The following is a 15552-nucleotide window of genomic DNA, read 5'->3' on the forward strand; positions in this document are numbered from 1 at the left end:
AGCACAGCCAATTTTTGTATTTTTTAGTAGAGATGGGGTTTCACCATATTGGCCAGGCTGGTCTTGAACTCCTGGCCTTGTGATCCACCTGCCTCGGCCTCCCAAAGTGCTGGAATTACAGGCGTGAGCCACCACACCCAGCTGAGTAAAAGCTATTCGTAGTACTGAGATATAAAATAACTCTATCAAAGTACAAAGAGAATCATATGGGAACCCAAAGAAGGGGGTTTTTCATCTCGTGTGGCAAAATTTTATACAGCAGACATTTTAGAGACAGTTAAAGAAGCTAAGCTCAATGGGCTCAGAATAAGGATAACTTAAAAATAAAAATCAATCCACAACCAAGTCCTATGCTGTCTCCTATAGTTAACATCCACAACCAAATCCTATACTTTCTCCTATAGTTAACATCCATAACCGAGTCCTATACTGTCTCTGCTCCGCCTCCCTCACCCTCCCCACCACCAGAGGCTTCTGCTCATACTCCCATGTCCTCTGAGCAGGTCCTCTGTTCATTCATGCTGGCAGCTTTTGGTGCTGTAGGACTAAAGTGACAGGAATTACTCCCTTTGTGTATTTTGGAAACAGATGGTTTGTTTTCATTAATGTAATTCCACATGTAAATGTACCGCAGCTTGGAACAAGAATTAAAAAAGAATGATAGCTTTCATTTTTCACGTGTAACCCTGTTGCTTTGAAAATGGCTCTACCATGCCGTCTATTTACGTTTATCATGATTACAGGTAAAGTCACAAGAGCTGGGAAGGAGGAGGCCTTTGTTTTTATGCCGGCTCCTCGTGCAGCTGACCTGTGACCTGAGGCTGGCCACCCACCTCTTCTGCTTTCACTTTCCCTGTGCATAAAGCCAGGGTGGCCCTATGTGCCCTGCGCATCCTCAGACTGACTGGGGACCCGACTGGAGAGAACCACAGAAAACCACACAATAACAAAGACAGACGAAGTGTAGGCAAGGCATGACGGGTGACTACACTTGAGGGCTGGGGAGAGAAGACGACCATGTTGACGGTCTCGGCATGAACCACCGCCAAAAGCATCTCCCTTGGAATTCTGTCCCGCTGCCACAGTGCTCCCCACCTTCTACATCAACGCTTGGAAGTGCTCTCTAGGCCGACCAGGTAAATGGAAAGTGTGGCTTGCCCCGGGGCTGGGGCAGGGATTGGCTGGGAAGGAACATGTGGGAATTTTCTGGGGTGGCGGAAACGTTCTATATCCTGATAAGGGTTTGCGTTAGACAGATCCATGTATTTCTAAACCTCACTAAATGGTACACGAGATTTGCACATGTCACTGTACATGTATTTTACCAAAAAAAAGTGAACTCTAGTTAATGGTACATGTGCTACAGCATTTAGGGGTAAAATATACTGAAAACTGCAACTTACTTTAAACTGCATTAAAAAAAAATAAGATGGATTTGGCCAGGTGCAGTGGCTCATGCCTGTAATCCCAGCACTTTGGGAGACTGAGGCGGGCAGATCACGAGGTCAGGAGATCAAGACCATCCTGGCTAACACGGTGAAACCCTGTCTCTACTAAAAATACAAAAAATTAGCTGGGCGTGGTGGCAGGTGCCTGGAGTCCCAGCTACTCGGGAGGCTGAGGCAGGAGAATGGCGTGAACCCGGGAGGCGGAGTTTGCAGTGAGCCAAGATCGCACCACTGCACTCCAGCCTGGGTGACAGAGCAAGACTCTGTCTCAAAAAATAAAATAAAATAAATAAATAAATAAATAAATAAATAAATAAATAAGATGGATTAAAGGATGGATAGGAGGCTGGATAGATATGTAATAAGGCAAATATAACAAAATGTTCATTACAGTACCTAGATGGTTTGTATGTAAGTGTTTGCTATAAAATTCTTTCAACTCTTCTGCATGGTTCAGTATTCTTATAATAAAAGTTTGAGGATGGAATGATGGTTGATACAGAACAAGTTCCAGATGAAGTCAGAGACATAAGGAACACCAAGGATGGTCGGGCACGGTCGCTCGTGCCTGTAATCCCAGCACTTTGGAAGGCCAAGGTGGATGGATCACTTGAGGTCAGGAGTTCAAGACCAGCCTGGCCAACTTGGTGAAAGTACATCTCTACTAAAAATACAAAAAATTAGCCAGGCATGGTGGCAGGCACCTGTAATCCCAGTTACTCAGGAGGCTGAGGCAGGAGAATCTCTTGAACCTGGGAGGCGGAGGTTGCAGCAAGCCAAGACCACGCCACTGCACTCCAGCCTGGGCAACAGAGCGAGACTCCATCTCAAAAAAAAAAAGAGAAACACCAAAGGCTAAGGTAGCCTAGAAAGGTGGGACAGAAGCTGGACCTTGAGATGAGACCTCAGATGACCAAGAAGCAGAGGAAGGCCTCTCCGGGAAGGGGGCGGTGTCTAAGGTAGAGCAGCAGAGGCAGTGACCTGCACAGAGCAGGCGTGGAGAGGGGAGCATCTAAGGCAGAGCCGTGCCGCACATTCAAAATCGCACAGTGGTTCCCACACGCTTGTCTACGTCCTCCACTCAGCCAACAGGAGAGAAAGGCATGCTCCCATCAGCCTCATTCTCGAAATGCGGCTGATAGGGCCATGCCACCAAATGTCTTTCCGTCACCAATTACTCGGTACTGAGCACCTGCTATGTGCCAGGCCCTGGAAATAGAAGAGAAAACCCAGTCACTGCCTTGGAGAGACCATACCCTGATTAGAGAAAGAGACCAATAAAGAAGCCATCACCATACACAGTGGCAAGACCTCCTGTGGCACTAAGTCAGAGCAGCCTGAGGCAGCAAAGGAGACCCAGGAGCCCAGGCTTAGGCAGGCTTTCCAGAAAGGGCAGCCAAGCCAGAGCCCAGAGGATAAATGCTCCGGAGCTGAGGAGGCAGGAGGGGTGGGAGAAGTCAGCATGGCGTGCCCGGGGAGGAAAGGGTGTGTCTATGGCAGATGGCAGGAGCATCCAGGAAGCCAAAATTAGCTCCTGACAGCAATGCGACTCCAGCTGAAGAGGAGAGGTGGCCATAGATGAAGCCAAGCATGGGGCAGAGGCTGGGCCACACAGGGCCGCGGGGGCCAGGGCGACAGCAGCCACTCATGGATTTCTGAAGACAGAAGCAGGTGAAGACTTTTGCTTCAGAAAGAAAGGGGGATTTTGTAATGAATAATGGGCACACGATTACCACAGAGTTTATTTGAGGTAAGGAAAAAATGTTTTCCAGTTGCTAAGCTGGGAGGGCAAGTTAAATTACAGGAGATGTGAGAAAAGTTTGCCACGTAGACTGTAATTTTCTGTAATTCAATATTAGCTTGCTTGTTCAAGTATCAACCAAACTCTATAACCAATTAATTAAGTTCAGAGTACCAGATGAAGGATTTTATGCCAGAGAAGCACTTTCTACCTCACCCAAATTGGTCCCAAAAGGAGGGTGGGTAGGAAAGCATGAAATTAAGGTAGTATCATTAAATTTCTCAAAGACTATACAAAGTTTTTAAAATAAGACACAAATAAACAACATTTTTAAAAGAAAAAATGATTAAATGAACCACATTAAAGTTAAGAACTTCTGTTCATCCAAAGCCACCACTAAGAGGTAAAGGCAAACAAATCATAGTATGGGAGAGGATGGTCACGCCACGCGTCCAACAAAGAGCTCACACCAAGGGTATACATAAAGAAGTCCTCCAAGTCAGGAGAGATGGGGAAGGGGAGGGAGAAACAGAGATAGAGACAGAGAGAGAGAAGACAACCAATGGGGGAAAAAAGGGCAAAGTCCTCATACAAAAGAGGATATACGAGTGGCCAGAACATTGGAAAAGTGCTCAACTTCACCAATCATCGGGGAAAAGCAAATTGAAACCCGAATGCTACACCATTATATACCTCACTCTCACCACTCTCATCTCAAGAATGAATAACATGAGTGCAAACACCAAGTAAAGGCAGGTGAAATGAATCTATGCCATTAGAAGTCAAACAGTGGTAGCCTTAGGCAGAGAAGTGGCTAGACATCTGATGCACAAAACTTCAATCCTCATGACAACTCTACAAAGTGGTGGTGTCTGTGGCAATAGCAATAGTGGCAGTGGTGGTGGTGGTAGTGATGGTGGTAGTGGTAGCAGCAGTGATGGTGATGGTGCTTGTGAGGATGGCAGTAATGGTGGTGGTGGTGGTGGTAGTGATGGTGGTGACGGGTGATGGTGGCAGTGGTAATGGTGGTGGTTGTGGTGGTTATGGTAGTGATGGTGATGATGGTGGTGGTTGTGTTGATGATGAGGTGATTGTGGTGGTGGCAATGGTGATGGTGGCGATGGTGATGGTGATGGTGGTAGCAGTGATGGCAGTGGTTATAGTGGTGGTGGTTATGGTGGTGATGGTGGCAGTGGTGAGGGTGGTGGTTGTGTTGATAGTGGTAGTGGTGGGGGTGGGGGTTGGGGTGGTGTTTGTGGTGGTGACGATGGTGGTGGCAGTTGTGACAGTGGTGGTTGTGGTGGTTATAGTGGTGATGGTGGTTTTGGTGGTCACAGTGGAGAGAGTGGTGGTAGTGAGGGTGGTGGTGATGATGGTGATGGTGGCGATGGTGATAATGGTGATGGTGATGGTGGTGATGGTAGTGATGGTGGTGCTGGTGATGGCAGTGGTAGTGATGGTGATGGTGGTGGTGGCAGCGGTGATGCCGGTGGTTGTGGTGGCAGTAGTGGCAAAAGTAGCAGTGTATTAATTCACTTTGCATTGCTATAAAGGAATACCTGAGGCTGGCTAATTTACAGGGAGAAGAGGTTTTATTTGGGCCCATAGTTCCACATCCTGTACAAGCACGGAGCTGGCCTCTGCTTCTGGTGAGGGCCTGAGGAAGCTTCCATTCATGGCAGAAGAGGGCAAAGCGGGAGCAGGCAGTCACACAGTGAGGGGAGAGGGGAGGAGGCACCAGGCTCTTTCGAACAACCAGCACTAATGAGAACTAACAGAGTGAAAACTCATTCATTCCCATGAGACGAGCACCCAGCCATTCATCAGGGATCCACCCCCATGACCCAAAACCCCCCACCAGACCCCCCTCCAACACTGGGGATGATACTTCAACATGAGAGGTGGAGAGGACACACACCTAAACCACAGCAAGTAGTAACTTGTGTGAGAACAAATCTGAGTGCTTACATGCCAAGCACTGTCTCAAGTGCTTCACACATATTATCTCATTTAATTCTCAGTTAAATCAATGAGATGTAGGTACCATTCTTAGTGTTATTTTACAGAACAGTAGGGCCAGACAGTGCCCTCCCCAGAGGTCTGGGTGCCCCGAGCTGAGACTCCAGCACCGGAGCCGGGACACTCCTCTGAGGTCTCAGTTGCCGCTCCTGGGTACTTCCTCTCAACTTCTGGGCCACACTCGTCCAACCTCTTCACAGGCTGTGCCAGCCCAGGGCAGGAGCTGCCTCCCTCCTCGCACTTCCTGTTGCTTTACATTATCTTTGCCTCTCAAACACTCTGCACCTGTCAGCCATTGTTCATAGCGATTCTTTCTGTTCTGGTGTGGCCTGTCTCCTGCCTGGCCCCGGAGTGACACAAGGAGGGACCTGGCCACCGACAGCTGTGATCCAGCTCGGCTTGGGCTGCTATGCCACTAGTTCCCTTATCCTAGAGACAGGCCGCCCGTGTTTTTGTTATTGAAAATGCAGGTGAGGCTTGCAGTGAAGCCTTTCACACACAGGTTGTGTGATCAGTGAGCTCCAATGCCTCCTTCCCCTCCCACCCCAGGCCTCCCCTTTCTTGGCCAAAGGCCTGGCACAGAAAAGGTAACCCCTCGGCATTCCTGCTGCTCCAGGCATCTGCCCAGGCCCCTCTGCCTGGCTTTCATTGTTGGGGTACTTTTGGGTGCTGCGTTGCCTACTCGGGGAACAGCTTTTCCTTAGTCCTCCCAGAGTCCCACTTCCGCTCTCGCCCTCCCTCTAACCCAGTTTCCACGACACCTGTGGCCGATGCTTTGTTACGGGGGGTTGAAATGATTTCCTTGTTTCACAGGGAATGGTTTTATTTTCACTGTTTCTTCACACTTTGTTGTTCGGGGGAGATTTCAAGAGAAAGAGTAGAATAAAAATGCTACTCTTCTGCCATCTTTATGCAGAAACCATGCCAAATTAACAACTGCCAGCAGGTTCTGTACTGGGCCCCGGCTCCCCAGGGGATGGGACCACCTCCCTGTGATCTCCTTGGGGCTGAAGCGAAGCCTAAGATGAATGCAAGAACCACTCCTCAGGGACAAGGGAGCAAGACGAACACATCAGACTTGCATTTTTAATAACTATTTAGCATATAACAATTTGCCACTTATGGCCTCACTCAATAAAAAATACACTTGTTATTCCATGTTGTGTGACTAGCACTGAAAGGAAAAAGGAAAAAAAAAACCCACAGAAAAGGGAAGGATTCAAGACAAGAAAATATAAAATGAGTGTGCACCAACAAGCTACAGGTGACTTCCTGCTCCATGCCCACTCCCTGCTCTGGGCACACCCGGCCCTCCTGAGCAAGAACACAAGGTGGGCTGCCCCACGGCTCCAGCCCCGTGACCATGCACATAAATCACTAGAGGACAAGCCTGGGTCCCTCCCCAGGGCAAGGCTCCTTCCAGGGCAGACACGGACCGGGAGAATGGGTTAGACAATGCGGACGCAAAGCTTCGTGCTTTACTTCCTACAGACACAGATTTCTATCAAAATCAGTGGAAGAAATATGGGAATACAAGATACCCTGAAATTCTCCAGAGCGGTACAAGCCCAAATTAACCCTTTCTTACACACTCCAAACTCATTCTCTCATGACATAATTCTTTGCCTGCAAATTCTCCCAAGCTCAGCCCTGGACCTTCCCTCAAGCTGGAACTAACCAGAGGGTCTGTGGCTCTACCTCTAAGAAACTTGGTTTGTCGCATTATAATGTCATTAGCATGGGGAGGGAGCCCTCTGCCAGGAAGTAACATGTGATTAGTACATCATCTACTGGAAACTTAACCAGAACCAGTCAAACTCCCCTTGTATGCCTGGTTCATCTCACCCATACGTCAAAAGCACATAAAACACCCCAAAGTCCTGCTAACTTGCTTTCCCTTTTTCATTCTCTGTCTGGTCTCACTAGCCTACAATTTCTCTAACTGTATTAAATTACCCGGTTTTATTTACACATATTACTCTTGATACTTTTCCCTCCTCCTATACAATACATTCCCCTTTGATCAATGCACTCGCCAGCCTCTGACACACCAGGTGTCCTGCCAAACACGACCTCCCTAGTTCACTCTTGTAATGTATGTGCTAAATACTACCCCCCCTATTTATCCAAGAGGAAATCGAGGCACAGGAGTAACAGTTCCCCAAGGACAAATAGCTAGTAAATGGTGAAGTCCAAACTTCAGCACAGGTCCCCTGACCCCAAACTACACGAGCTGGATGCATGATGGGTTGGATCCCAAACAGACTCTTTCCAGGCCTGCTAATGCTTCTCTCCCATTCATTGAAGAAATAGTTCTGCTGAGTAGCTGATGGATGCTGAGGTCTGGGAAAGGGCACTGGGGGTACAGAGGTGTGTGCTCGGTCCCACTGTCTTCTGCTGTGTGTCTTTCATGAAGAACTGGTTTCCCACTGTCATGATGGCACCAAGCCTCCCCAAGGCTCCTGCACTCAAGCTCTCAGCCTGTAAGCCCTCGCCTGACTTCTACTGACTTCAACTGAATCCACAAAGAAGTTTTTAGATTCTCTGAAAACTGAGAATTTAAAGTATCTCTTCTACAAGTAAACAATACAAACATTCCCAGGGTCAAAGCTGCTTACAATACCTACCTTTAGTGGTGAGAACTTTCGAGGTGACCTCCAGTTTCTCCAATGGTTCCATTCCAATATTTTCCAATTTAATGATTAGTTGCTGACTTTCTCCATTGTAAAGCTGGACAGATACATTAGTAGATATTTCATCACCAGAAGAAGGTTGCAATGAATGTGCAGATCTAAAATAAGAAGAAGAAATTTAAAGAAGAAAGAAGGAAGAAGCCAAGGCCATTTGAAAATTACTCACTTCCCAAAGAAGAATCACCATACTCATGCATTTCAGAAACAGGGGCTAGGAAATCTGGGCTTCATATATGGAGTTCAGTATCCAGCTCTCAGGAATGGAAAGTGAGCTGCCACATGCCTCATGCTTTCCTCATGCAGACACGTCCAGGTCTTTGTGTGTCATAAACATGAACACCCTCACTCAGCCTTCATTTCTCAGGCATATGTGAAGCATAAAAATACTTAATTACTAAGTTATGGGGTATAAAAATTACATGATGAATTCATTCAAATAAACCATGAGGCCGCTGTTCTCTCAAAATCTAAAAAATGTCATGCTTAGAAGTACCTTGGGAAACTCCATAGATTTAAGAGGAAAATGTATACCAACCATTCCAGCTGCTAACATAGAGCTGAGGCCAAAGAGGAAACAGAAGCTGTCCCACAGACCCCTTCTTACAGGTACAAACTGTAAGGAATGCCCACCAACACCTGGCGTCACATGAGGGCAGCTGGGCCAGGCCCTGGGGTCAGGCAGTATCTGTGGGGCTCCATCCTCACACCAGTCAGGTGAGGCCCTGGACTACGGGACAGGCCAAGGCAGCCAAGCCAGATGAACGTGCAACACAGAAGCCAGGGCCTCCCCGAGGCTCCTGCACTCAAGCTCTCAGCCTGTGAGCCCTCACCTGACTTCTATTGACTTTAACTGAATCCACAAAACTAATTGTCCTGGTTGCATCCTTCCCAATCCACAGGCTGCAAACAGTGGGTTGGGAAGGAGGTCACTGGTGATCACAGAGAAAATATATCTGGTAGCACAGTGGGGACAAATGCCAGCAGATGACAAATAGAGGCATGTGACAGGTGAGGTTAAACACACACACGGCTCCCTGGAGAAGTTTGGCCACAGGACAAAGGGGCAGACAGAGGAGGTGGCCAGAGCGGGGAGGCCAACATGTTCTCCTGGGGCCTGAAGGTTTCCTGAGTACCCCACTACCTTCTTCCTGTCCCTGAAGGATTTCCACAGAGAGCCACAATTAGTCCAGCATACTTGAGCCAACATCGTGTGCTTAGTGCATCCAGAAATGGCTCATGAAGTCAACTAAGCGGACTGTGGACCACCCCACTCCAGACACTCTCCAGCAGTCTTTCCAATGCCCAGCTCCTCCTGGCCCTGCTCCCGGTCACAGCACACAGGATCGGAGTCGGATCTGCTTCCCACGCCGAAGCACTTGGTGTCACACACTATTGGTCCAAAGGACAGAAAAGAATGTTCCAGACTCAGACCTCTGCCACCCAAGGGAAGAAATGCTGCTTAACACAAGCCAAGCTCATGGTGCCGGGCACGTGTTTCCTGGGGGCTTCCAGATACAGACTCTGATAGAGGAGCTTCTGCATCCAAACCAAATTTTGGTGAAACAATTGCATAATAAATCAAGGTGAGCTCCTTGGAATTTAAATATCTTTAACGATCATGAGTCAAGAAATAAACTTCCTCTGTCAAGGAAGGAAAATTGGACTCGTGTCCTTACCATCAAGGGCTTTTTCCCACCTTTCAGCAGGCAGCCTTTCTCAAGCAAAAGTTTATAGTCAATGTGGATTTGCAGAGAAGGTATCGGAAAAACATAAAACACTGCCAAGATTCACTATTTTGTGTCTCAAACAACAGGATTTTGAAACAAAACAAAACAACGCTTCACCTGGCAGTCACAGGGCCTGGGCCTAACACAGGCCCTGACGGTCCCAGCTGCAGCATCCCAGTTGTCATGAGCAGTGGAGCTTGGGTGGGAATCGGGCTGGCACTGAAAAGGAGCTGAGTCCTGAACAGGCCATGGCACTAAAGAGATGGCAGCAGGGACCCCACTCCAGCCAAGGTCAGGCCCCCAGGGAGGGGCTGCAGAGGCTGGGCAAGGGTCAGGTCCAGTCTCCTAGGAGGAGATGAGGACCGGGAGCTTCTTGGCAGAGAGAAACTCCAATGTGGGACTATGGGCAAACTGTGGGAGGTAGGAGTAAGGTCTATGGCGATGAGACTCTCTTGTTTAAGGAGATGGCCCCTCATATGAGGTCTGTGTTGAGGGAGCCCCTGGGTCTCAGCAGCACAGGAAGTGCAACGGGAGTCACTGGTGCCTGAAGCTTGGCACGCCTGTGTCCCCCGAGCACTCTGTGGGCTCAGCTGCCCTTCCTGTAGCTCTGCCCTCCCCACCCCTGCACTGGACCAAAAGTTTTTTCAAGACAGGGACAAATTTTTTTTTTTTTGAGATAGTCTCGCTCTGTCGCTCAGGCTGGAGAGCAGTGGCACAATCTCCACTCACTGCAACCTCTGCCTCCCGGGTTCAAGCGATTCTCCTGCCTCAGCCTCCCGAGTAGCTGGGATTACAGGCTCATGCCACCATGCCCAGCTAATTTTTTTGTATTTTTAGTAGAGATGGGATTTGGCCATGTTGGCCAGGCCGGTCTCGAACTCCTGACCTCAGGTGATCCACCTGCCTTGGCCTCCCAAAGTGCTAGGATTACAGGAGTGAGCCACCGCACCCGGCCGTGACAATATTTTTATCTTGCATTATCAGCTCCTACCCAGCCAGGCAACTGGCACATAGCAGGTACTCACTAAGTATGTATTGAACAAATTAATAAGCATCTCAAACTTGAACCACTGTGCGACACAGAAAAGCACGCTAGCAGTAGTCAAGATGGGCCTGGGACAGAGTGGCCTGCTGCACACTTCACAGCTGCCTCCTGCTGAGCCTCACCCTGTGCAGTGCATCTCTGTATGGCTGCCTGGCCATGGAGAGGGCCGGACAACGCAATTCCACAGGAGATGCCATCAGGCCGCCTGCTCCTGACCTCTGCCCTCATCACTGTCAGTGCTCAAGGCACCACTCCCGCCAGGCTCCATCTGGGCACCCGCGACTCCCATCCTGGAATGCTCTCTGCCACATCCCACTGGCTGCCTACCAGCTCTGCTCCTCTGCGCGTCTCCTCGGCAGAGGCCTTTCCTGAGAAGTTCCCTGCAAAGCAAGCCTGGCCATCTGACACTGCTTCGCAAAGTGACCTGCCTTCTGTCTCTGAAGGCCTGCCTCTTCTGGACATCTCATCTCATCTGACCCACTGTGTTTTCATCACAGCGCTGAATTCTCCTGCGCCATGGTCTGTATTTATTGGGTTGGTTGACTTGTTGTTCCCTCTTCTTTGCATTTTCTTCCATGCTTGATTATCTGACCAATTGTTGTGGATCTTGTAAGGCCCAGTTTAATACCACATCTTCTGTGAAGCCTTCCCGAACCCCAAAGACAGGGTCAACCTCTACTTTGTTTTTATATTACAGGGCCAGTTAGCAAATTTGACTCTAGTTAGTCTGAGTACCTCCTTCCAGACTGAGAGCTCATACAAGGGCAGCGGCCTAGGTCGAGGGCATTTTTTATTCATTGCATTTTTTATTAATTGCTAGTCCTACAGCACAGAGCCTAAAGCACATGGTAGGTGTCGATAAACGTTTGTGAGTAAATTTAATGAATCAGTCACTGGAATGTTCATATTAGATTAATAACAATCAAAACTCAAAGAATAGTCACATTTTATTTCAGGAAGTCACCTTAGAAAAATATATACATTATATACAATTTTTTAAAATAAGAAATAAAAAGCAAACATTTTAACTCCAAATCGGTTCCACTGGACCCTCCTCCTCCAGCCCCTGGTCCTCATCAGGACCATGCTGGGATCCACATTCCTCCCCAGGGCCCAGGCTCGGTGCCGTGGTGGCCGCCCACAGCAGCACATCTTGTTGAGAGGTAGCAGGTACCAGAGCATGCACGCACCCCCGTCACAGTGCATCCGCAGGACAATAAAAATGGGGGGTCAGAGGCATTATCTTTGGAAATGATTCTAAACACAGGAGAAAAATGTGGGGTGGACAAAGAGAAGCAGCTAGAGGACCTGCTTTCTTCACTGCCTTTTACAGCTGGCAGGGACCTTCGGGGACACCTTATTAGCAGGACAAATGACAAAGTTAAAGTACCTCTTCTCAAGTTATTTTTCCTTTTTGGTGATCTGCCCTTAGCGTTTCTTCGCCTTAAGCCACCCCCCGCCCTTTTGCTGGAGCGCTGGCCGGAGCTTGCTAAGCTGGAGATGGAGCCACGATCTCCTTTATGAGCTCTCTCAGTGCCCACCTCCAGCTTTCGTTGGGCGGCTGGTGCCCTGCACAGGCCTGTGAGCGCGTGCCGTGACACTGTAGCTGAAGCTAGTGTCCTTCCTAGCCTAGCGCCCACTGGGTGCCACAGTTCTACGGACAGCAGTGGCAGAATTTCAGCAGCCAAAGCCAGAGCTGGGAGTCTGAGCGTCTGGCTGTTCAAGCTAATGTGCTTGGAAGCGTCCAGGCCCGGGAAGTCCTGGTGGCAGGCTCGGCGGAAATCATGTGTCCATCCAACACTGAAGCCTTGCCAAAATTCATCTTTCTAAACAGCATGTGCAGGTATAAAATCCACCTAGCTTAAGTATGCAATGCAATCATTTTTGGTAAATTTACAAATCACTGATACCTATTGTTTTTTTGTTTTGTTTTGTTTTGTTTTTATTTTGAGACAAAGTCTCGCTCTTTGTCCCCCAGGCTGGAGTGTAATGTCGCGATCTCGGCTCACTGCAACCTCCGCCTCCCAGGTTCAAGCGATTCTCCTGCCTCAGCCTCCCAAGTAGCTGGGATTACAGGCTCCTGCCACCATGCCCAGCTAATTTTTGTATTTTTTTTTTAGTAGAGACAGGGTTTCACCATGTTGGTCAGGCTGGTCTCCAACTCCTGACCTAAGGTGATCCGCCCGCCTCTGCCTCCCAAAATGCTAGGATTACAGGCATGAGCCACCACGCCCAGCCTGATACCCAGTTTTAAAACACTTGCAGCACCCCAAAGAGATGACGCAGGAGCACTTCCAATCAGTTTAGTCCCCACACCACTGGCAGTCTCAGGCAGCCGCTGAGCTGTGTCCTGCCACTAGAGACCTGCTTTCTGGATGTTTCACATCAGAGGACTCACGCTCTGCGCCTCTTACATCTGGCTTCTTGCACTCAGCAGCTCGCCTCTGAGGCTGGTCTGCACTGGGGCACGTGTCCCTTCGTCCCTTCATTGCGGAGTGGTGTTCCACTGCAGGGACACACCACATTCTGCTGACCCATTCACCAGCTGATGGCCATCTGGGCCCTTTCCAGTTTTCTGACTGTGAACGATGCTGCTATGAACACTCGCACACAGGTTTCTGTGTCAACATATGTGTTCCATTGTCTTGAGCAGGTACCTAGGAGTGGAGTTGTTGGGTCACATGGTAAACTTATGTGTAACTTCTGAAGAAACTGCCAATGTATTTTCAAAAGGGATGTCCCATCAGCATCCCCATCGGCCTCGCACGAGGCGTCCAGCTTCTCCGAAACCTTGCAGCCCTGCTATGGTGAGCCCTGTGAGCGGGTGTGAACTGGAGCCTCACATGGTGCCAGTTCAGAGACTAATGATGTCGACCATCCTTCCAGGTTGCTTATGAGCTATTTGTATATCTTGTGGTGAAATAGGTACTCAAATCTCTTGTCCATTTTTTAAATTAGGTTGTTTGCCTTATTTTTATTAAGTTTTAAGAGTTCTTAATGTGAATATAAGCTCTTTATCAGATATTTAATATGCAAATATTTTCTTCCAGTCTGTAACTTTCATTCTTTTAATGGTGTCTTTGGAAGCGTAAAAGCTTTTAATTTTGATGAAGTCCAATCTGTCAACGTTTTATTCCAGGGATCCTGCTTTTGGTGTCACATCAAAGAACTCTGCCCAATTCAAGGTCATGATAATTTTCTTTTATTTTCTTCTAAAAGTTATATATTTTCAGCTTTTAAACTCAGGTCTACGATCCCTTTTGAGTAAATGTTGTCTGTGTTTCATTTTATTCCCCGGTTATACGTCAGTGTCTCCACCTCTCCTTCCTCTGTTGAAGACCGCCCTGCCTGCTCTTGCACCCAGCCAATTCCTCCTCCCTCCCATCGAGCCTGTTGTCGCCTCCTGGAAGAACTCTTCCCTGAGTCTGTGACCTCCCCCAGCACATGGGACCTCCCGCATCACAGTCCTGACGACAGTGCACTGTGATTATTCGGCGACTTGTCAATTTCTCCACTTGACAGAACTTCCCGTGAGGACAGAGACCAGGACTGTCATGATCAGTGCTACAGCCCCATCACCCAGCACAGCAACTGGCAAATGAAAGGGTCTATTGAACACATGAATGGGCTTTAAAAACATTTCAGAAAATCCCAAGACACATTTTATAAAAATGGCCAAAAGGATATCCATTAAGTGTTATTCGTAAGTGCAAAAATTAAGAACAGGCTGGATGTGGTAGCTTGTGCCTATAATCCCAGCACTTTGGGAGGCCAAGGTGGGCAGATCACTTGAGGTCAGGAGTTTGAGACCAGCCTGGCCAATGTGGCAAAATCCCATCTCTACTAAAAACACAAAAATTAGCTGGGCGTGGTGGCGGGTACCTATAATCCCAGCTACTCAGGAGGCTGAGGCAGGATAATTGCTTGAACCCGGGAGGTGAAGGTTGCAGTGAGCCGAGATTGCGCCACTGCACTCCAGCCTGGGCGACAGAGCCAGACTCCACCTCAAAAAAAAAAAAAAAGATTGTGCCACGGCACTCCAGCCTGGGCAACAGAGCAAGACTCCGTCAAAAAAAAAAAAAAATTGAGACCATCCCAAATTCCAATAGCAAGGAAATTAATGGGTATGCAATTTTGAGATATCTTTATGATGCGCTTTGTTGAAGCAATTAAAATTGAATTTTCTCAAGAATTTGTAAAGGCATGAAGAAAAGCTTACGTTACGTGGTTATGCAAAAAGTAATCTATAATACTATATATGATGTCATGTAATCTCAACTATTCAAATACATATTTTTAAATAGGATGGATAAAACACTGGAAGGAAATATCACAACAAATCATTTACAGTAATTGCTTCTGGGACTCCTGAGATTTCTTTTTCTTTCTTTTTTATGTTTTCCTGTAACGCTAAAAAACAAATAAACAAGATCAAAACTATTTCTTACAGGATAAGAGTTGGCTGAGCACGGTGGCTCACACCTGTAATCCCAGCACTTTGGGAGGCCAAGATGGGTGGATTGTTTGAACCCAGGAGTTCAAGACCAGCCTGGGCAACATGGTGAAACCCCATCTCTACAAAAAATACAAAAATTGGCCAGGCGTAGTGGTACAAACCTGTAGTCCCAGCTACTTAGGAGGCTGAGGTGGGAGGATCGCTTGAACCTGGGAGGTGGAGGTTGCAGTGAGTCGAGATCACAATACTGCACTCCAGCCTGGGTGACAGAGTGGGACCTTGTCTCAAAAAATTAATTAATTAATTAAAATATAATATAATATAAAAGTTTAATTAAAATTCCTTTTTTTTTTTTTTTTTTGAGACGGAGTCTCGCTCTGTCGCCCAGGCTGGAGTGCAGTGGCGCGATCTCGGCTCACTGCA

General features: G+C 47.9%; 1 protein-coding gene and 1 long non-coding RNA gene across 20 annotated transcripts in view, besides 1 other annotated feature; one reads left to right on the plus strand and one right to left on the minus strand.

Annotated features, from left to right (window-relative positions):
* Positions 1-15552, minus strand: part of TRAPPC9 (trafficking protein particle complex subunit 9) — a 730855-nt gene that overhangs the window by 540098 nt on the left and 175205 nt on the right. For all 18 annotated transcript variants that reach the window (NR_164662.1, XM_011517326.3, NM_031466.8 and 15 more), the window contains one exon: positions 7836-7999. Coding sequence is in view for 17 of the 18 variants with exons in the window: in XM_011517326.3 (XP_011515628.1) it covers positions 7836-7999 (164 nt within the window). In the remaining variant the exon portion in view is untranslated. The remainder of the gene's footprint in view (positions 1-7835; positions 8000-15552) is intronic.
* LOC105375779 (uncharacterized) lies at positions 1068-15110 on the plus strand. 2 transcript variants are annotated; one of them, XR_001746117.2, is made up of 3 exons: positions 1068-1136; positions 13813-13858; positions 13983-14452. It is a non-coding gene; the product is annotated as an uncharacterized LOC105375779 (long non-coding RNA). The 2 variants fall into 2 exon arrangements; XR_007061119.1 differs by lacking the exon at positions 1068-1136 and adding an exon at positions 3023-3198 and having other exon boundaries at positions 13983-15110.
* Positions 5061-5561: an enhancer, noted in NCBI's record as "H3K4me1 hESC enhancer chr8:141282982-141283482 (GRCh37/hg19 assembly coordinates)". NCBI's record gives its function as "activates a minimal SCP1, AML or CMV promoter by ChIP-STARR-seq in naive H9 embryonic stem cells {active_cell/tissue: H9 hESC(naive)}" and the evidence as "EXISTENCE:reporter gene assay evidence [ECO:0000049][PMID:30033119]".

This window comes from Homo sapiens, chromosome 8 (genome assembly GCF_000001405.40).
Source record: "Homo sapiens chromosome 8, GRCh38.p14 Primary Assembly".
NCBI classification, from domain to species: domain Eukaryota; kingdom Metazoa; phylum Chordata; class Mammalia; order Primates; family Hominidae; genus Homo; species Homo sapiens.